This window comes from Homo sapiens, chromosome 15, assembly GCF_000001405.40.
Source record: "Homo sapiens chromosome 15, GRCh38.p14 Primary Assembly".
In the NCBI taxonomy this organism is placed as follows: Eukaryota; Metazoa; Chordata; class Mammalia; order Primates; family Hominidae; genus Homo; species Homo sapiens.
Window position 1 is genome coordinate 39,602,473 of NC_000015.10, and position 23,294 is coordinate 39,625,766.

Genomic DNA, 23,294 nt, shown 5'->3' on the forward strand with positions numbered 1-23,294 from the left:
TATGAATTATATCTCAATAAAGTTCTTATTAAAAAAAGACTCAACCTTGTAATGAAGGGCAGATGACTTGCAGTTTCAGAGCAAAGTGATAAATGTAGTGGTACTGTCAACACATGGAGAAGAAATATTAAACAGGATGTAGAGGCAGGTGGGATGAATGAAAAGTGGATCACAATACCCCCATGCATGAGGTGGGAGATGATGGGACATAATTCCACGCCTTCGTAAGTGCTATTCTCTCACTATGGAGTGTTCTTTTTGCCCACCCAGCAAATAACCATTCATCCTTGGAGGCACAACTTAAATGCCACCTCCCATCCCTCTATAGTGTTGTCTATGTACTTTGTCCTGAAGCTCTTACTATGTTTGTCCCACCCTACTGTAATTAAGTGTCTGTCTTTAGGCACTTAAAAATTTTCATCAATAGAACTAGATTGAGTAACAAAAAATTTTTCATCAATATACCTAGAACAACGGTCCTCAACTGGGGGAAATTTTGCCCCCAAAGAACATTTTTTGCAATGTCTGGAGACATGTTTGTCTGTCATAACTGCAGAGGACACTACTGACATCAAGTCAGTAAAAGCCAGGGATTCCATTAAACACCCGACAATGCACAAGACAGCCCTTCAAATGTCCAACTCAAAATGCTAACAGTGCTGAGGTGAAAAACTCTTGGAACTTAGAAAAGCATCTAATACACAGGAGAATCTCATGAAATGTTTGTGGGGTAAATCGATGAATGAATGGATGGCAGATGGATGATGAATGAATAGCATGGAGCCTTGGGGTTTTAAAGCATGGCTGCACAGCAGAATCACCCAGACCCTGATCTCAGAAACTGACTTAAATGACTGCTGCCAGAACCCACCCCTAGAAATTGACTTAATTCATCTGGGATGGAACCAAGCTGCTAATCTGTTTTAAATCTCACCAGGTGATTCTAACATGCAGCCAGAGGTAAGAGGCAGCACTGGCTAAGGAACAGACTCAGTATAGCTTAAATGCCAGGCCGGCTCAAGGCAGACGGAAGTAGAGAGACTGGGCAATCAAAAGTATGCAAAGCATAGATAGTTCCATACTGGTTATATGTGTCTCCAAACAAAATATTAACGAAGAAAGAGTAGAGAACTCAAGGGAGGGTCCCAGGGCATGCTTGCTCTAAGAGGAAGGTTGCCCAAAAGAATGACAAGATGGATGGCTGGAGAGATCACAAGACAATGTGGATGCAGCAGTATCTTCGTTAAAAAGAAATTTAAGAAGAAAAAAGCAGACATTCAGCAGATGGGAAAAAAGGTACTTTCTGTACATTATTTTCACTACCACCATTTATTTTTGATAATCCTAAAGTAGAAGTAAGTAGTAAACCATTTAGTCCGGAGCTTCTCACTCTGTAACATGCACACAAATCACCTGCGGGGTATCTTAAAATTCAGGCTCTGATTCAGTAGGTCTGCAGTGGGCCTGGCACTCTACATTTCTTTTTGTTGTTGTTGTTGCCCAGGCTGGAGTGCAATGTCATGATCTCAGTTCACCGCAACCTCCACCTCCCGAGTTCAAGCGATTCTCCTGCCTCAGCCTCCCAAGTAGCTGGGATTATAGGCATGCACCACCATACCCGGCTAATTTTGTATTTTTAGTACAGATGGGGTTTCTCCGTGTTGGTTAGGCTTGTCTCAAACTCCCAACCTCTGGTGATCTGCCCGCCTGGGCCTCCCAAAGTGCTGGGATTACAGGCGTGAGCCACAGTGCCCGGCTGAGACTCTACATTTCTAACAAGCTTCCAGTTGATGCTGACACCACTAGTCCATAGACCTAGTTTACAGTCACAATAGCGGATCTTCAGTAACTTTTTACTTTACCCAATTTGAATGAAGCAACAGAACCAGAAGTTTCCAATAACTGATAAAGTGATAAGGACATTACAATTAAATATCAAAACTCTCAAGCATGCCTTTGTTCATTTTATACTGCTAAAATGATAGAGAAAATGATCAACAGCAAATATTTATATGAAAAGTCTACCTCAAGAAGAATTAAAGAAAATTAGTTGAAAGTAAATTGAAGATGTAAATTAACCAAATATAAACTTACTATACACTAAGGTTTTATATTAAAAAATGAATTCACATTAGAAATTTCTAATATGGCATCTCTGATATTTTGACCAAATAAACTCTGGAAGAGCATTGGTTTGACTAGACAAAGGGAGGTTAAGTCACTAAGGGCATTGAAGAAGCAACGTGTAGCCTTGGAAAAGTAATTTAACAAATAGTAACTATGAGGTCTGAAGGCACACCCTGTTTGAGACAAACAGAAAACTATTAAGGCAATGATGAGTTAAGGACTTCCCTAAGAGCAATCCAAAATATTTTTAATGGAAAAGATCAGCTAATAGGGTCACTGTTTCTAGAATCTCACCGCTCTCCTGCAAACCAGTAAGACTATACTATAACAAAGAAAATTTTCTCAAACAATCTAGTTCCCTTGAAACTGTTCAGGTGGTATGACTAAGGACATATACCAACACACACCCACTTCAAACCACTGCAACACCCTTACCAAAAGTCAATCTGCCGGCAACCAGGCCTCATCCAGCAAGTTACAATCAATGGGCAAAATTTCAGCCTCAAGTATATTCAGATTATATAGTCGTCATTATTAGTAGAACTTTTTTTTTATCTGAGGATCCCAATAAGATAACATACTTAGCTTTCTTTCATCTAAACTGAAATCTATAGTTCTCAAGTGTTCACAGTGAAATCCTGTCCCTAGCATTAATTTAGCAGCCTGGACATTCCATCCCAGGAACTCTGATTTCAGCAAGTCTGGATAGGTCCTTGGACACAGCTAGAAAACAAACAAGCAAAAAACTCCCCAGATGATCTTGATACTCACTGTGGTTAGGAATAATGCTCTGCAGTTTGTAACAGGGCTTCTCAAACTTTATTGCCGGGAAGTATCACCAGGGATCTTATTAAAATGAAAATTCTCATGCCTTAGGTTGTGGGTGGGCCCTTAGGGGCCCTGCATCTCTAACAAGCTCCCAGTGGTTGGATTGCACTACAAGCAGAGGAGACTTACAACATGGAATGGAAATTCAATGTCTCCAAAGGACCAAGCCCATGAAGTAGAGAGGGCTAGGTGGGGGCTGTGTCCTCTTGGAGAATACACATGCCTTCTAAGGGGAGCATCTGCTACTCAGCTCCCGTGGGTGGTGGTAGAACTTGCTGATTTGTCAGAAATGTCAGAAATCTAGCCTTTTATGGAAAAATCTCCTGACAATGTTCAATGTTAAACGCCATGTAAGCCAACCAAGTCCAGTCCCAGAGCTAATCATTTTATTTGAATGTTCTCATTTGATCCTCATTACAACCCTACAGGGTATTAAGCCATCTTATATGATAGACAAGGAAACCAAGGTGTAGAGGAGAGAGAGAGAAATTAACTAACTTACCTAAGATCTCCATCTAGCAGCAGAGCAAGGATTCAAACCCAGGTCTTCCCTACCCAGAACCCATGTTCCTAACCACTAGGCCACTTCCCACTGGTGGGTGGTAGGCCACCCTCCCTCTGCTAATCTAGGTTCTAGCTTGGGATTCTGCTACTTACTTGGACTCCCTTAATTTGGTCCTTTGAGTAACTAATCTGCTCTTTGGTTTTATGTTCACAGTTTCAATTTAGAGTGACCAACCATTCCAGTTTGCTAGAGACTGAGGATTTCCTGGAACATGGAACATTCAATGGTAAAACCAGGACACTTCTGAGCAATCCAAGACAGTTGGCCACTATAGTTTTCATTTAGGGGTATTATTTTAAAAAGAAAACAAAACTTACATGACTCTTGTTGCATTTACTATAGGCTTTTAAACTGACACACAATTGTACATATCTATGGGATACACAGTGATATTTTAATACATACAATGTCTAGTGGTCAAATCAGGTAAATTGCATACCCATCACCTCATTTATCAATTCTCTGTGTTAAGAACATTCAAAACCTTCTCTTCTAGCTATCTGAAAATATATATTATTGTTGACTATAGTCACCCTACAGTGCTATAGACTATTAGAACTTATTCCTCCTATAAAGCTATAATTTTGTATCCTTTAACCAATAACTCCCTATCCCTTCCTCCCTGCTAACTTATACAATTTTTCAAGAATACTGTTCACTCAACAGGTCCAACGAGAAATTCCACTTTGTTTTTCTTAAAGAATTAGTGCAGTTCTGTCCCCATTTTTTACTGCACAACTGATTTTGTGTCCGTTTTTGCCCTATTTTACTATGTTTGTTATTTGCTAATACCATGTTCATCTTTATTTTATGAATTTCTGTTAATAATTAGCTCAAATGCTTAGTAGGAAGGGAGAATACTATACAAGCATAGGTGGCTTTTGCTTTGATTACCTAGAAAGCAACTCAGTATTAGATAATTTGATTAAATACTAGACTAACTCACAGACCTGATCCTTTTTGCTTCGGAAGTGCCAGTACATTCAGGATTGTCTCTGAGGTTAAGTGTGACCTGACAACACTTAATCCCCACTCTCCTCATGCTCCCACAAGGAGGAACTTGCAGTGGAAGCATCCTGGCCTCACTTCACACCCTCCACACTGTCCGTGGGAAGCTAAGTTTGGGAGATGAAATGGCATGCTCAGCTCAGCCCCTGCCTCCTCAGGAGTCAGCACCCAGCTCCCACCTGACCCTGCTCCCCAAGGCTCCATGCTTCGCTCCTCCACCCTATTGGTTTTACATGGACAGGTCTCCACAGATGATGCCTGAGATTTTCCATCTCTGCCAGTGACTGGGTGAGTACGTTTATTTTAAAGGCATAGCATTGGAAGCCTGTCTGGCTGCCCACCCGGATCATGACAATCCTCTACATTTCATTAGCAATAAAGCGAACCTCCTTGATCTCCATTTGTCAGAATCTATCTCTCTCTCAGTCGGTTCTGACCTGGGTGGGGAAGAGAAGAGTGCTAGTTATTTGTCCCGTAAAACCCCAGTAACTAGTGAGTACAATGCTGAATTTACTGAACCTTGTATTCAAAAATTCAAATAATACTGGTTACCATGAAGCTTAAAGCACAAACATTGATAATGTGTTTCACATTGAAAATTTTTAATACAACTGATAGGCAAATCCTTATTTTTCAATACCACCATTTAAATTGGTCTTCAAGGTCACTGAGTTTGGTTTTAGTTTTGAAGCCTTATCTGACTCTGCCTTTTAGAAGCACAATTGAAATAGTTGGAACAGACCTCAGCACATCAAGGAAAAGACAACTACGTATCAGTAATACTTGCTATTGAAAGAGAAAACAATAAATGGCTTTTCTTATTTTCTTCCTGTCTGCTTCCAGAAATCTAATCCGAATCACACTCTTGTGTATCTATTTCCTGAGAAGGAGGTAGAACAGAAATGTAACAGCCAAACACGCAGCAACTCCTCATTAGTTATGTCTTCAAAGGGCTTTTTGTCAAGAAAACTGACACAGCATTCAGTTTTGATGCACACTTTTGTAGAAAGCACATAATGGACAATTTAGTATTTTAGAATAAAATTGATCAGCAAGCTATTTTAATAATTATAAATAATGAGGTTAGTAAAACTCCAACTTCAGATATTCTAACATGCTCAAAGTAATAATGTAAGACCTATTCCTTAGAGCTTATTATGTAATAAACAGAAAGTAAAATATGGTTCACATATTCACACCTAAGACACCTTAATCATAGTCACAGGGTTAATTGTTATAATTGCATATTAACATTATCTGGTATAATCAGAGCCATGTTCTATGTCTCCATAGCTTCTTTCCATTAAGTCACATTAAGTTCCAATTCATTCCATCTTGTCATGCTCTACCCAGTGACAGATATGCATCAGTGTGACTCATGTTCACATAAAAATAAAGTCATATCTTAGCAAATTACTTTTCTAAACCCCCCTATATATGGACTCCATGGGAATGAGATCCCATACACAAGAAATGATTGCATCCAATTTTGTAAGTTTGATTTCAGAAGTCAGAGGAGATTCAGATACTTTCTAATAAAAACACTTTATCCAAAAAGAAGGACAATATACTTCAATTTCAGAGTAGAACAAAGTTTTCACAGTTCATTTATTAAATGAAGATCTTTGGTGTGAAGAAAGCAAACCACACCCATCTAACTGAATTGCATTTGTAAGTGAACTCTGCTGCTAAATAAAAACATTACAGCTGGAAGTTCTACTCAGGAAGATGGCAGAATGGGTGTTGCTCAGCTCCCATACCCCCAACAAAAATCCAACCAACTATTTACAGACAAGAATATCTTCATTAATACTCCTGAACTCCCTGAACGTGAAAAGCTGAGACACCCCCTTGGACCACATAACTGAAAAAAGCCTCATTCAAGGGGTAAGTGGAATAGAGGAATGGTTTCACTTTGACCACATCACCACTCCCCCAAACCCTGCCACACCTCAAGCCAGCACAGCACCACACACAGAAGATTCCCCTGGGCCCAGAGTTTCTACAGTGGGAAAAGAGAGAGGCAAACATTCAGCTTCCCCAACATTCTGGGACCCTGAGCAGGAAGCCCACTCATTATTATCTCCCGGGAAACACTGGGAGTACAGGCAGGGCTAGACCACCTAGGATCAGCCAGAAACAAAGAACAAAAGTGAGACTCACAGAAACGAGCACATGGATCTTGCAGTGGCTCTGCATTCTAGCCAATGGAGGCACTCCACCAGAGAAACTGGCCAACAGCATTAGCACTGTCCTGCAGGAAGTATAGTCAACTGATCTGCCAGGCTTCATTCCCTAGCCAGCTTCCCCACCTAGCTCTGGTGCTCTCCTTAAGCCTTCCCCAGGCCAGGCAGCAAGGGCAGGTCAGTGATTACCTAAGGAGGGTAGCAACGGGCCCCACCCAACCCCAGCAGCCAACTAGCCTAACCCTACCAAGCCTTCATGTTCTGCTTAAGGCTTGCCAGGCTAGGAGGCAAGTGCAGGTCAATGAATGAATATCTATGGACAAAAGTACCTGGCCCCACCCAACCCCAGCAGCTGCATGGTGACCCCACAAAGCCTCAGTGCTTTGCTTAAGGCTTCCCTGAGGGAAGCCTGCATCCATGTGTTTCTCTAGACGATAGCCTGGCCCATCCTGAATGGCTGAGCACAACAGCAGAAACCTCACCCAGTCGCTGAGCCCAGCACACAGACCTGCCCAGCTACAGATTAAAAACAGCAGTACTTCCCAGCCAGGGAAAACAACATGCAACCCTGTGCAATCAGAGGCTATTACAGAGCCCAGCCAGTAGCTCCACCTTAACTGTGGAGTCCAGCTAGTGATCTGTCTCATCAGACCACAGAGCACAGCCAGAAGTTCCACTTGACCTCAAAGAACAGCCAGCAGGCTGGCCCAACAGCAACACCAACAGCAAGGTGTACCTGTCTGGGGTTGTTACCAGCTGGCCTATCCATAATCAAATGCTAAACTAACTAGTGAAGGTCTACCACTGTGAAAGAAAACCTTCAAGGCCAAAAGAGGTGGCCATTTCCTCAAATGTGTAGACAACAAGGTTTAGAAAGAATCAGGGAAATGTGACACAACAAAAAGAAACTAATAAAGCCCCAATAATGGACCCTGAAAAAAATGTAGAGCTATGAAAAAAGAATGAAGAAAGCCTACATAAATCTATGGGACACCATCAAGAAAACTAACTTTCTTATAATAAAATTCTAAGAAAGATATGATAAAGAAAAAGGCCCAGAAAATATATTTAAGAAAATATGGCTGAAAGTTTCCAAAATTTGTGGAAATATGACAACATCCAGGTATAGAAAGCTCAGAGATCTCCAATTAAATTCAAGCCAAAGATGAGTGCACCAAGACAAATCATAATCAAACTATTAAAAAACAAAGACGGTCAGGCGCAGTGGCTCATGCCTGTAATCCCAGCACTTTGGGAGGTCGAGGCGGGCAGATCACGATGTCAGCCTGGCCAATATGGTGAAACCCCATCTCTGCTAAAAATACAAAAATTTGCTGGGCATGGTGGTGCGTGCCTGCAGTCTCAGCTACTCAGGAGGCTGAGGCAGGAGAATCGCTTGAACCCAGGAGGCAGAGGCTGCAGTGAGCCAGGATCATGCCACTGCAGTCTAGTCTGGGTGACAGAGCAAGACTCTGCCTTAAAATAAAATTAAATTAAAATTAAAATAAAACAAAGACAAAGAATCCTGAAAGCAGTAAGAGATCAGGAATGTATAATATTCAAGGGAGTCCCAAAACAGCAACCAGCAGATTTCTCAGCAGAATCCCTGCAAGCCATAAAAGGGTGGGATAATATAATCAAAGTGTAGAAGAAAAACAAAACTGGCAACCAAGAATACTTAACTCAGCAAAGCTATTCCTCAGAAATAAGGGATAAATAAAAACTTTCCCAAACAAACAAAAACTAAGTAAGTTTATCACCACTAGGCCTGCCTAACAGGAAATGCTAAAGGGAGCTAAGCTGAAATAAAAGGCTCCTAATTGATACATAAAACTTATAAAAGCAAAAAGCACTAAATGGTGTAAGTAAGACATAGTCATATTCAGAATAATACTGTAAGGATGATGTGTAAAGGAATTTTCTCTGTATTATGAGAGTTAAAAAACAAAACTATTAAAAACAAATGCAGCTATAATAAATTGTTAAAGGAATCCAAATTACAAAAAGATGTAAAATTTACATCTAAATCATAAAAGTTGTCGGGGGGAGGGCGTTAAAGTATTGAGATTTTATATGTGATAAAAGTTATCAGCTTAAAATAGCCTGTTATAATAAGATATTTTGTTGTTGTTTTTTTTTATTTTTTAAGGAGATGGAGTCTTGCTATATTGCCCAGGCAGGGCTCAAACTCCTTGGCTGAAGTGATCTTCCCACTTCATCCTTCCAAGTAGATGGGACTACAGGTATGCACAACCATGCCCAGCCTGTACAAGATGTTTTATATAAACCTGATGGTAAACACAAATAAAAACCTGTAATAGTTGCACAAAATATAAAAGGAAAAGATTCAAAGCATACCATCACAGAAAATTATCAAACCACAAAGGAAAGTAGCAAGAGAGGAAGAAAGAAACAACAGCTCTACAAAACAACCAGAAGCAAATTACAAAATGGCAGTAGCATGTCCTTACCTATCAGCAATTACCTTGAATGTAAATGGATTAAAGTCGCTAGTCAAAACACATAGAGTGGCTGAATGGGTTGAAAAAATAGTAATAAAAGGCCAACTATATGCTACCTGTGAGAGACTCACTTTACTAGTAAGAAAATACATGGACAAAGTGAAGGGATGGAAAAGTTACTCCATGCAAATGAAAACCAAAAGAGAGCAGGGGTTAGCTATACTTATATCAGACAAAATAGACTTTAAGTCAAAAGCTACACAAAGAGACAAAGAAGGTCATTATATAATGATAAAGGGATCATTTCATTAAGAGGACATAATTGTAAACATATACACACCCAACACTGGAACACCTAAATACATAAAGCAATTATTACATGATCTGAGAGATAGACTGCAATAGTATAAGAGTAGGGGACCTCAATACCCCACTTTCAATGATGAAGAGATCATCTAGACAGAAAATCAATAAGAAAACATTGGACTTGAATTACACTTTAAATCAAATGGACCTCACATTCATATACAAAACATCACACCCTACAGCAAGAAAATACACATTCTTCTCAAGCACACATGGGACATTCTCCAGGATAGGCCACAAAACAAGTCTTAATGAACTCAAGAGGATTTTAATCATATCAAGTATCTTTTCTGATCACAGTGGCATGAAACTAGAAATCTATAACAAGAAATCTTGGTGAATTCACAAATATGTGGAAATTAAACAACATGCTCCTAAACAAACAATAGGTCAGAGGGGGGAAAAAAGGAAATCAAACTATATTTTGAGACAAACAAAAATGGAAACACAACATATCAAAACTAATGGGATGCTGACAAAAGCAGTTCTAAGTGGGAAATATAAAACAATAAATGCTTATTATCAAAGAAAAAATCTCAAATAAACAATCTAATGTTAAACCTCAAAAAACTAGAAAAAGAACCAACTAAGTCCAAAGTTAGCAGAAGAAAGAAAATAACAAATATTAGAGCCAAAATAAACAAAATGGAGACTAGCAACAATAGAAAAAATCAACAAAACTAAGAATTGGCTTTTTGAAAAGATAAACAAAATTGACAAACCCTTAGCTAGACTAACTAGGAAAAGAAAGAAAGAAAACTCAAATAAATCAAATCCTCTGAACTCATCACACCATCATGTAATGGGAAGATAATGATTATGACCATATTTTTGTCTCATGATAGTTTTAGCTTATACAAAAAGTCTTAATATAAACGACCAAAAATAAAGAAATGCTTAAATTATGATACATCATAAGATACATTGCAGCCATCATAATGAATGATTTAGAAGAATATTTAATAACACAGAATGCTCAAAATATAAAAGAAAAAAATATCAGAATATATTATAAGAAGAATATGAAGACAATTTAAAATACACAACTAGAAAAAAGATGAATGTTAATATTAACAATGAATAGGTCTGGACAATGATTTTATCTTCTACACTTTTCTGTATGTTTCAAATAGCCTTCAACAAATTTACATTTGTTGTGCGATTAGAAAGCAATAACAAATACTTTTTAAAGTCTTTAAGCTCAAAACTTCTGCTTATTTAAAACAAAACGAAAATGAAATGAAAGAGGAGACATTACAACTGATACCAAAGAAATACAAAGGGTAATTATGTAAAATTATATGCCAACATATAATAACCTAGATATTTTATTGGATAACCTAGATGTGAACAGATTCCTGGACACATACATCCTGCCAAGGCTGAATCATAAAGAAACAAAAATCTGAACAGACCACTAATGAGCAAGGAGGTTGACTCAGTAATAAAAAGCCTCCTATCAAAAAAAGGCCCAGGGCCAGATGGCTTTACTACTGAATTCTACCAAACATTTAAAGAAGAACTAATACCAGTGCTTCTCAAACTCTTCCAAAAAACTGAAGTGGAAGAAAGCCTTCTGAACTCATTTTACAAGACCAGCATTACCCAGATACCAAAGCCAGAGAAGAATACCACAAGAAAAAAAAATTGCAGGCCAATATCCCTGATAAACACAGATGTGAAAATCCTCAACAAAGTACTAGCAAACCGAATTCAAAAGCAATTAAAAGAATCATTCACATGATCAAATGGGCTTTATCCCTGGTATGCAAGGATGGTTCAGCATATGCAAATTAATAAGTGGGATATACCACATTAATAAAATGAAGGATAAAAACCATATGATAATCTCAATAGATGAAGAAAAAGCATTTGACAAAATTCAACACCATTTCATGATAAAAATTCTCAACAGATTAGGTATAGAGGTAAAGTACATAATAAAGGCCATATAAGATAAATCTGTAACTAACATCATACTCAACGGTGAAAAGTAGAAAGCTTTTCCACAAGGATGCCCACTCTCACCACTTTTTTTCAACATAGTACTTAATGTCCTGGCCAGAGTTACGCAAGAAAAACAAATAAAAGGCATCCTAATAGGAAATGAAGAAATGAAACTATCTCTCTTTGCTGATGACATGATCTTGTATATAGAAAATGCTAAAGACTCCACCAAAAAACTGTCAGAAGTGACAAAAAAAAATCAGTAAAGTTACAGGATATAAAATCAACATACAAAAATCAGGAGCATTTCTATACATTAAGAACAAACTATCTAAATAGGAAATTAAGAAAACAATCCCATTAACAATTGTCTCTAATAAAAAAAATTAACCAAGGAGGTGAAAGAACTATATATTGACAACTATAGAACACTGATGAAAGAAAGTGAAGAAAAAGCAAATCAATTAAAAGATGTCCCATGTTCCCAGCCTGGCCCACATGGTGAAATCTCGTCTCTACTAAAGATAGAAAAAATTAGCCGGGCGTGGTGGCACGCACCTGTAATTTTGGCTACTCGGGAGGCTGAGGCAGGAGAATCGCCTGAACCCAGGAGGCGGAGGTTGCAGTGAGCCAAGATCATGCCATTGCACTCCAGCCTGGGTGACAGGGCAAGACTCCATCTCAAAAAAAAAAAAAAAAAAAGAAGATGTACCATATTCATGGACTGAAAGAATTAATGGTTAAAATGTTCACACTATCCAAAGTCATCTATAGATTTAATGCAATTCCTATCAAAAATCCAATGTCATTTTCACAGAAATATAAAAGAAACAATCCTTAAATCTGTATGGAACCACAATAGACCCTGAATAGCCAAAGAAATCTTGACCAAAAAAGAAGCTGGAGGTATCACACTCCTTGATTTCAAAGTATAACACAATTATAATTGCAACAACATGCTACTGGCATAAAAACAGATAAGTCAATCAACAGAACAGGACAGAAAGCCCAGTAATAAACTCATGCATTTATGGTCAATTGATTTTTGACAAAGATGTCAAGAATGCACAATGGGGAATGGTGTTGGGAAAACTGAATATCCATATGCAGAATAATAAAATTTGATCCTTATCTCACTCCATGTATAAAAATCAACTCAAAATGGATTAAAGACACAAATATAAGACCCAAAACTGTAAAACTACTAGAATAAAACAGGGGAAATGCTCCATGACATTGGTCTGAGCAGTGACTTTTTTTTAATACGACCTTGAAGGCACAGGCAAAAATAGACAAATGTGATTATATCAAACCAAAAAGTGTCTGCACAGCAAAGAAAACAATGAACAAAGTAAAGAGACAATCTGTGAAGTAGGAGAAAATATTTTCAAACTACACATCTGATAAGGGGTTAATATCCAAAATATATAAGGAACTCAAACAACTCAATAGCAAAAAAAAAAAAAAAAATTAAAAAATAGGCAAAAGACCTGAACAGACATTTCCCAAAAGAAGACATAAAAATGGCCAACAGGTTCATGAAAAAATACTTAGCATCATTAATCATTAAGAAAATGTAAATTAAAATCAAAACGAGATGCTACATCACACCTGTTATAACAACTATTATCAAAAGATGAAAGAGACTGGGTGTGGTGGCTCACGCCTGTAATCCCAGTACTTTGGGAGGCCGAGGTGGGCAGATCAAGAGGTGAGATCAAGACCATCCTGGCTAACACAGTGAAACTCCATCTCTACTAAAAATACAAAAAAAAAAAAAAAAAGTCAAACTCATGGAAGTGGAGAGTAGAATGGCAGTTACCAGTGGCTGGGGGATGAAGAGGGGGAAAAAGGGAATGGAGAGTTGTTGGCTAAAGGGTACCAGTTTTCACTTAGGAAGAATAAATTTTGAGATGAATTGCACAGCAGGGTAACTACAGTCATTAATCACATATTGTATGTTTCAAAATAACTAAGAGTAAATTTCAAGTGTCTTACCACAAAAAAATGGTAAGTGAGGTGATAGATAATGTAAATTAGCTTAATTTACTCATCTCACATTGTATACATACATCAAATCATCATACTTTACCCCACAAATGTATATAATTATGCCAATCTAAAAAATATTAATTTAAAAATTACAGCTTGCGAAATTTCATGTAAGAAACAAAAAATCCAAATATTTATATAGAATGTGTGACTTACATAATTCTTAAGCAACATTACCTACTTTCATTGGTAATGTAAAGAATAAATGTGAACCATATTTTCAGTGTTTTATTCTAAAACTGGTTATACATTTAAATTCTTTTATTTATTAAACAGGCACTTGGCTTAAGGCAGCACTTTAGACACCATGGAAAATGTAACAATGAATTGCAAGATAGAGTCTCTGTTTTTAAAAATGTTATGCAGTTTTAAGGAAGAGAAGGTGAGTGTGTATGTGATCCTATAGGAAACCAAAGTGCTTGGACATTCACAGAAGACAGAAAACTTAACAGAGGGGACCAGGGAAGGCTACAATCAGAGAGGATAAGGTTGGAATTCAAATACCATTGAAGGGGTACCTGAACATTTCTGGGAAGAAGAGGGCCTGAACAACAGCAGAAGCTAGGAAATCACCGAAATCATTAGACCAGATTAGCTACACACTGAATAACATTTAGGTGACTACTTAGAGATTGATTAGGAAAAGAACTTCAGGTCAGATCATGGAGACACTGAACAAGTTAAGGAATTCTGATTTTGATCAACAGGCATTGGAGAGCCATAGAAGGAAGTGTGGTTATCAAAGCTGTGCTTTAAGGAAATTCGTTTAGTGGTTGTCAACAATGGTAGGAAGAGAAGAGAGACTTGAGGCAGGGAGGTCTGGGAGAAGGGTTATGGCATTGGTCCAGTTGAAGTTGTAGGAAGAGAAAGGAAGGGATGGGCATGAGAGACACCGCAGGAATAGAACAAACAACACCTGAACACTGGAAGTGGGAAGCAAGAAAGAGAAGTAATTCAGTGATGACTCAGATTTTGCTCCTGGGTGACTAAGGAAATGGAAGTCAAAACCGAAATCTGACTCAGTTCAGAGTTAATGGATTATAGATTTAATAAGGAATAGATTAATAGATAGAAATGTAATAGCCAATATATTTTAGAGTAATCTACAATAGAGGTAAAAATTGAATCTATTTAAATAGATTCACCAATTGTTACACAGATTTCTAACATAAATAATTGAATATTTGTTTGTGTCGAAAACTAGTTATTGTTGTATCCTGTACCATGACCATTGCAAGATGAAACACTAGATCGTGACGAAACACCTGAGAACATAGGAGTGGCTCAGGAGAGGAGGTTTGCATACAGAAACTAATATAACCACAATGAGTTACAAGTTTTACATTTTAAATTCATTCCTTAGAACAAATTTTCATCACTAAAGTTTGAAAATACTAAAGTTTGAAGTTGAAATACTAAGCAAATCTATTCAAAGTATTTCTCTCCATTCAAACTAATTTCTCTTTTCCTGTGAAACCAACATTATTTTCTGGATGACACAATTAATTACCATCAAGAATAACGTATTTCATAGAGTACTAACCTCAACTTTGATTTCATAAGAGCATTGGGAAATAGGTTTTATGTTTGCATACTCTTATTGACGCTACCTGTGACTTACAAACATACCTTCTTACCCGACTCTAATTTAAACCATAATACCTTTATATTGAGGTGCTTTTAAGAATTATTTACCAAAACACATGTTCGCCAAGCCTCACCTGCTATTGTATTCTCTGGAGAACTGAGTTTCAGATGTTGGTCTTCTGATGAAAGGCTCACACTGATACCATACAGTGGATCATCTAAGAAGGAGGGCCTTTTCAGTCTCCCAATGCCAAGAGTCTTCGACATAAAATAGTCTTTTGTGTCACTAATAATAACGTCCTTGGAAAATTGAAGGCATTTCATATTCTCTGCTTCAGTGACAAGAGCTTCTGACATGTTATGTCCAGTCAAGGCTTTAGTGAGATAGTAGCCTTTAGAAGCTTCACATTCTTCACTCTCAAGCATATCTGCATCTTCTACCTCAGTTTTCTGGACCTTTGTTTCTGATTCATTTAGCAATTTAGAGATGATGGACCTGGAAAGCTGGGGGAACACAGGTGTTACGTCCTCAATGTCTTCCTTTTTTCTTTCTGAAGAAAGTTTAATGATGGATTTTTGTTTAAGTATGCATTCATCCAGAAGACACTTTAACTGTTCTTCAGAGAGACATGATGTGGACTCTAACTGATGAAACAAACCAAAAGATTACATAGTCAGTTGACTGAGTAAACACATTTATTTTTGGTAGGCATCCAGTAATACAAATATAAATGCAAGTAACCCCTTACACAACACATAAAAATAGAAAAATAATTCATTGTAAAGTATCCAAAACTGTAGGGGAAATGTCATAATCCTGGCAAAATCTTTGGTTGGTGTTTCTCTGACCCCACCCATCCCTCAGCATGAATCCCACCACCATCCAATTCCTTACTGGGAAAAAAATTGGCATACAAGGCAGACTACCCCTACCTCTGGGGATTCAGCACTCCCATGTCTGTCCACAACTATCAGTGGACAATACTGCTGAAGACAGAAAAGGAAGGGTGAAGGGTGGTGCATCCTGCAATGTGTCGTTGCTGCAAAGCTACAGGTCTAGGCAGAGGCCAGGGGCATTCCAGAGGCGGTGTATTTGGGGAGAATGATTTGATCATGCATACTTAATCTCTGCTTGTAAAGGTTACCAGGGCTAAGTGTTTCAACCAAGACCTTAAATATTTAAAAACATTTTTTTTCTTTCAGCAATATTCTCAGGAAATAAATTTTTAAAAATCAAATGAAAGTAGAGAGCCATGTCCCACAAGACTTCAGCTGAATACCATAACATTTGAGTTGCAACAATCTCAAAAAGGAATGAGATTAAAATATAGTGAAACACACTGAAAAAAAAATGTCTACTTCCCCAAAAAATCAGTGTCTTCCATGGTTTACATGTGGATTATCTAGGAAAAGACTAATCCTCCTTTACAGGGGGATGAATTATCTGAGAACAAGAAGTCCCCATAAGAAAACTTAATCATGAATTTCAATGACTTTAATTTCTACTTCAGCAAAGTAAAATAATGTTATTGGCCTACTCTGAAGGTACATAGTAAAAAATAACTAAATATTCTGCATATGTAAAGTACTGAAATAAAAAGCTATTACTGATACTAGTATAGTTAATTCTCCACTATTAGGTAAAGCTTCTAATGCAACTAATAAATACTAATATGTAAAACAATTTTGTGCCATGTTTAAAAAATATTGTTTAAAATTATGTTTAACTTACCTATATTAAAACTAGTTTTTACAGTGGCAAGTGTCACTATGAGTATGAGGATAATAAGAAATTGTCTGGAAATATATTCTTAGTAATTATTTGGAATTCAAAATTCAGGTGACTGACCCTAAGGTTAATATACATGTCAAGAAATAGGATTTGAGATTTGGAATTCAAAATTCAGGTGACTGACCCTAAGGTTAATATATATGGCAAGAAATAGGATTAGAATTATGTATTAGCAAATTCTACTTTTAGTCACTAGGCATTTCAGGAATCCAGATATAGTATTTTATCCATCTGTATCCAGAATCAGGAGCATTATCTCCACCCTACTATGGAAACCTAGTCAAGTAGAAAATGAAGGAAGTCCTTCTATGACATTAGATACCTAAAACACACTTTCAAACTTTGCTTATGTAAAATTACATATAATGTGTAGACAATTCCCTACGATTTAGAAAGAGCCCGCTGAGTGTCATCCTTACCAAACATCCTCATCAAAGCCTTATTATGATGAAATTTTTAGACACTAGAAAAAAAATCAGTCCATATTAGAGCAGGAGGAGGTCTCTAGGGAAAAAAGGGTAGGAGGGAGGATTGGTAGATTATCCAATATGCTTGACCATTTCCAAAAGTAATATTGATATGATAGATGTTTGGCAGTTCTGATGATGTATTTGGCTAAATACACAGAAAATGAAGCAGAAGGAAAATCAAAGCAATTATGAACTCTGGGGAAAACAAAAAGTTTTACAAAAAAAAGGAAAAGCAGTGACATATACACAGAAAATTAGGCAAAAGAAACTAAGATAATTATGAAGTCTAGGACAAACAAAAAGTTACATGAGAAAGGATGCCATAGGCTAATAATTGCTTCTGCTGTGAATAATATTTACACAGTCAATGATAATATAAATACTGATGACTAAGGTAAGCAAAAATTGTGACTTAACTATTTTGGGGAAATGTGACGAGAAACAAGGGGTGTTTGCACTTTATTAGTTAAATTATTGCCTACCATTACAGCAACCCAATATATAATGTCTAAAACTAATCAATTAAGAAAGTAAGTTATTAATAAATAATATAGAGGTAAAATTAGGAAAAACACAAAAGATTTAAAAGCAGTTAACTGGAGAAAATATCAAGGGGTAGGGAAGGCTGAGGCAAGGGGCTGCCATTTTTATTTAAAACATTTTAACACAATTTTTTCTTTATTACTATAACAAAAGTTAAAATTAAATATAAAAATAAAAGTAATTTAAATGTATTCTTTTTTTTTTGACATGGAGTCTTGCTCTGTCGCGCAGGCTGGAGTGCAGTGGCGCAATCGTGGCTCACTGCAACCTCTGCTTCCTGGGTTCAAGCGAGTCTCGTGTCTCAGCCTCCCCGGTAGCTGGAATTATAGGCACCCACCACCACACCTGGCTAATATATATATATATATATTTATATTTTTAGTGGAGACAGGGTTTTACCATGTTGGTCAGGCTGGTCTTGAACTTCTGACCTCAAGTGATCCACCCACCTCGGCCTCCCAAATTGTTAAGATTACAGGCGTGAGCCACCATGCCCAGCCCAAATTTTTTAATAAAAATGCACTTAGAAATAAAATTTAAAATATTTAAATGAAATTCCCAGGTGATTGTATGTTTGGACATCAGAAGCTGACCCATGTTTCACAGAGCCAGAAATTTATATAATCTTGAAGCAAGAGAAGGGCATTTCTTAAAAAAAAAAAAAAAAAATACAAAATTACAAATTCAAAATTAGGTACAAAAGCGAGTTTCTTTTATTTTAGAATGTGAAAAAGATCACAACAAATTACTGGGGTCTTGGGGAGGGTTGAGTCCATTTCTTACAGTATCTCTTTAGGTCATTGACCAGACGTGCTTACAGAAATGTTTGCTGATTGCAACCTGGCTTCCTCTTCCCACCCCAAAGCTCCTATAAGTGAGAGGCCCTGAGCTGAATCTTCACTGGCTTCATGGTAAATTGCTTCTGGGCACTATGAGATAAAACATTACACATTTCAGCTTGTGTGTACACAGAAATAAGCTGGACTACAATTACCCTGATCCTCCTGGGGGAAGCAGCTGGATAGGAAAGAAAACACAGAAGACTAGAACCTGGGCTTCTATCCAAGCTTTGCTGCCTTGAGCATGTCACCTGAGTTCTCAGGGGCTCATCTCCTTTATCTGTAAAATGAGGAACTTTAGAAGATAATCTCTACATTAAATTCTAACTCTAAAATTGCTTTTTATGAACAACTACACTAAAAATAAAAATAAATTTTAAAATAAACTTTTCTACTCACTTTAGAGTGTAGCCTGGGTAGAGTTATGAAAACAAAATAATAGCAAAAAGAGAACTTTTATTTATTTAGCTCCTTCACAATATCAATCCCGAACTCTTATAAAATAACTAAAAATTCTCTGGCCTCAAAATATAAGTAAGAGCAAATGAAATACATTAAGCCCTCAAATTAATTTAATTTGCTTCTGGGTGCAATACAGATTGGAAACTTCAACACGACCCATCTTTCTCATCTTTTGATTCCCAGCAGAGTCTTGCCCACAGTCAAAGCTCAGTCAATGACTATCATGAGAATTGAATGATTAGAGTGCTTAAACCATTTTTTAAGGCACTATATTGATATAATTTATTTACAAATACTGAACTGAACTAAACTAGGGCTCCATCACAAACATCCCTAACTGCCCTCAATAGTTAAGGAATCATCTAACCCACAGCCTTTTTCCAGATTGCTCTCAAAAATTCTGAGCTAATAAGCACCATAACTGAACCACTCACTGTGCAGGCACTGTCAAGTAACCATCTGTTCAAGTATTCACCTCAAAGTATTCATCTTTCGTGCCAGCTCTAATTTCCCAGTATTCCATAAACAAGTTATTATTCATACTATTCCTATCCTTCATAAAACTCAACATAGTGCATCTCAGTCCTCATTTTTCCAGGCCAGAACCCAATCTCTTTTCACTCTGTATATGAAAGCCCCTCTCTTCCCACCTTCATTTTAGTAGCTCTTTTATGAATCTTCTTTCTCGTTTCAGCCAATACACACACATTTCATAGTAAAAGAGTAAATCTATTGGATTTTTCATCAGGAAAAGAATAGAATACACATGCAGTTTTAGTTCTGCTGCATCTTGCATCTGGTTGGCACACTAGGTTATGTCTTACAGAATAATAATAAATAGGTAGCATTCACTAAGCAGACTAGACTCTGCTCTAGGCATAATACATGTATTGATTCCTTTAATTTTGCAATAAACCTATTAGGTAGAAACTATTGTTATTTCCACTTTGCAGATGAAGAAACTGAAGCACTAAGAAATGAAGTAACCTCTCCAAGGTCATATAGCTTCTAAACCGTGGACTTGAAATTTGAATCCAGGTAGTCTGGGTCCAGAACCTAAGTGTCTAGCCACATGGCTACACTGCCACTCGCTGTAAATGAGTTCTCCCTCTACCACCCTCCAAGTGTCCTTTTCCCAACTGCTGCTCATTTTTCTGTCCATTCTATCAGATACAGAAACTCTCCCCGCAGAACAGTTTACTTAACTTGGGACTTTATTGCCCAGATTGGCTTTTGTGTGTACGTTTTATGCAAATGTACACAGTGTATGTTTTATGCAAACATATATAGTGCCCTCTCTTTTAGCTCATTAAAAAAAAAAACCCAGCCACAGCTCCATTCCCAGGATACCCACTGTTTACACATCTCCACCCAGATAAATGCCAGTTTGATGTAGAAGCTAAATTTGATGAGGAATGCAACTTGTAATTGCTGGAGATGGAACACAGACTGTGGATTACCTCACTCTCATCCCTGCCCCACCTCCTATGCTATATATCCGGAGTTTCTCCAGCCATAAAAATCTCCAGTTAATTGGGCAATGGATTTCTTGACAAGGCAATCAAGATTATGTCCCTGGTGCAGATAATCAGAAAGTCTACCCATTATAAACCAGCAGAAGCAATCTTGTCCTTTGATGTAAGCTTACTTCGGGTGTTTTTTATTTCCCCCAAACAGCACTCCTAAAGACCCACCCTATGAAACCAATACCATTATCACAAGTGAGAAAAGGGTGGAAAGCTAGAATGTTCTAAATGATTAACAAGGAGAATATGGATGTACACAGATTTTAATGACACCTAGTTCTACTTCCAAATAAGCAACTAAAAAACATTCCACCGTTTGCTTAATGACGAAGATATAAGTTTATAGCTCTCTATTGCAACCACTACTGGCAACACCTCCGTAGTAGTCTATTTTAGTCAAGGTTTTTTGGCTATAAGGAACAGAAACCCTTATGTCAAAAAAAGAGGTGGTAGGGTTGAGGTTTGCTGTAAGATCAAAGAAGTCATTTCATGGACAACGACAAGCAGGAAATAAGAGTATAGACTGGCCTTTCAGAGTCTAGAGCTGAGAAACCACCAGGCACCAGTCATGTGCCCCATCTGTCTTTCTGGGTCCATGTCATCTCTTCACTCACTGCCTGCCTGATGCATCCTCTTCTCTGCAAACCAGCTTTCTCTGCTTATTGATGGTTTCTGCTTTCTCACAACCTCAGCTTGCCTATGTAGCATGAACTGACTCTGTAAGAGTATCACACCCACCAACAACTGACTATGTCCTTTAGCTCTCTATATTCTTTTGCTTAAATTTTCAAGCAAGATAACCTGGTTGGTCACTGGCCAGGTTGATGGACTGCCTGTGTCAGGTTCAAGTGTCCACCACTGGTCCAAACATCTGAACTGAGGGTCACATGGTAGAAACACAACCATCCAAGCCCAAGGTTTTGGCAGGGCTGTGGGTAAGGTGATTTCCCAAACAAGAAGGTATCAACAGAACAGGGATTCAAAAATATCATATTTTTGAACTATAATTACTATGAAGTACGTAACCATCAGAAGGAACCTGCCACTTAATTTAGTTCTATAGTCAACTACAAGATTAATGATGGAAGTGTTTCCAAACTTCACTGATCTCATTAAATCTGGGTACTCACTGAAGAGTTATTTGAGATATAAATGTAGAACTAGTTGTCAGAAAATACCTACCTGTGCATAGAAAAATAAAGGCACTCCAGTTAGGCTACAGAACAGCACTATCGAGTCTGAATGCTCACAATAGGCTCACATCACTTGCTATAGCTCTTTTGGATTAAACACATCTAAAAATCAAGGGGGAAAAATAATTGGTGTTCATTTTAATGTCTGTATCAATGGCGCTAAGGATTCATAGGAGAAAAGGGCTTGTTCTTCCTTCCTCTCCTAGCTCCTTCCCTCCCTTTTCCATTCTCCCACCTTCCTCTCTTACACTGAGGCTACCCCAATCATATAAAGGCAAGTCCGGCAGGTAGACTGCTCTTAAGAAGCCAAACCAAGGACAAAGGGTCCTGGGGGCCAGGGACAATCTGGCATATTTTTCACCAGAATAGTCAGAGGCTGTCTGGCCAGAAGAGAATCTGAACTCTAGTCAAAAAGGAAGCAAATATCATTGCCAGAGAAACTATGTAAACCACCATCAAGAGTGAGGGTTGAGGCAAGGCTGTAAACAGGAAAGTGAGTCAGCTCCCAGGTCAGCAGCCAGGAGGCTCAGTGGACAGAATAATACTGAGTGTGAAGTAGGTCACGGCAAACAGCTCTGAAGCGAGGTCATGAACGTTGTGGTGGTGTGGGAAGCCCTTTTTATGTGGGGCCTGGCATGGCAAAGTCACCGTGCAGAATCAGACCCCACCCATGCCTAGGCTACCCATCTTCCCCAAACAGCCGGGTGAGGCAGGGCTTGCCTTATGGGTTTGCCTGGTGAGAGGCTGCTGTGGCCCTGGGCATTCTGTGATGGCTCGTCTCCCGTGGCCCAGGTGCCCGGGCTGGCTCCATGGCTTCAAGGATCCAAGCTTTCTGTTTCTATGTACCAGAATGAGAGAGGTGGGCTGCCAGCGGGACCCCAGTGTGTAAGTTAGGGATGAGCATGGATCGAGGGAGCTAGAAGCAGGAGGTAGGATTCTCAAGTCCTACTATTTGAAAAAGGGCTAGAAACATGGCTTGCCGGGGACATAAGCAGAAAAGTGTGGAGGTGCTCGGCAGGAGAGCCAGACTGTGCTTTCTAACAGGGTGACTTTGCTTTCTAACAGGGTGACTGGTGAAAATGGACTCTTATGTTTTCATTTTGTGGGACAATTACCATTTGAGGATTGCCAACAGTAGCTGTTTTCTAGCAGTAGAGACAGCAAGTCCACTTGGATCAGATGCCCTTTGTTCTGAGCAAGTCGCCGGAATGGCCCTGTTATCACATGTCTATCACTTCCTTTCCCGAAACAAGTCTGGGGCCCAGCTCTACAGCTGGAGGGGGCCTGGCACCTCTGCCCCAAACTCCCAGCTAAAAAAGCCTGGCCAGGAGATGAGGTGCA

General features: G+C 38.2%; 1 protein-coding gene across 6 annotated transcripts in view, besides 2 other annotated features; it reads right to left on the reverse strand.

The window, feature by feature from the left end:
- The window catches only part of FSIP1 (fibrous sheath interacting protein 1), a 185,402-nt gene that overhangs the window by 5,033 nt on the left and 157,075 nt on the right, over window positions 1–23,294 (reverse strand). For all 6 annotated transcript variants that reach the window (XM_011521305.4, NM_001324338.2, NM_152597.5 and 3 more), the window contains one exon: window positions 15,263–15,773. In XM_011521305.4, coding sequence (XP_011519607.1) covers window positions 15,263–15,773 — 511 coding nt within the window. The remainder of the gene's footprint in view (window positions 1–15,262; window positions 15,774–23,294) is intronic.
- Window positions 14,862–16,061: an enhancer, noted in NCBI's record as "MED14-independent group 3 enhancer chr15:39909535-39910734 (GRCh37/hg19 assembly coordinates)". NCBI's record gives its function as "activates an origin of replication core promoter dependent on BRD2, BRD4, P300/CBP and CDK7 cofactors, and independent of MED14, by STARR-seq in HCT116 cells {active_cell/tissue: HCT116}" and the evidence as "EXISTENCE:reporter gene assay evidence [ECO:0000049][PMID:35650434]".
- Window positions 21,304–21,393: an enhancer, noted in NCBI's record as "active region_9216". NCBI's record gives its function as "activates an Ori minimal core promoter by ATAC-STARR-seq in GM12878 lymphoblastoid cells {active_cell/tissue: GM12878}" and the evidence as "EXISTENCE:reporter gene assay evidence [ECO:0000049][PMID:35858748]".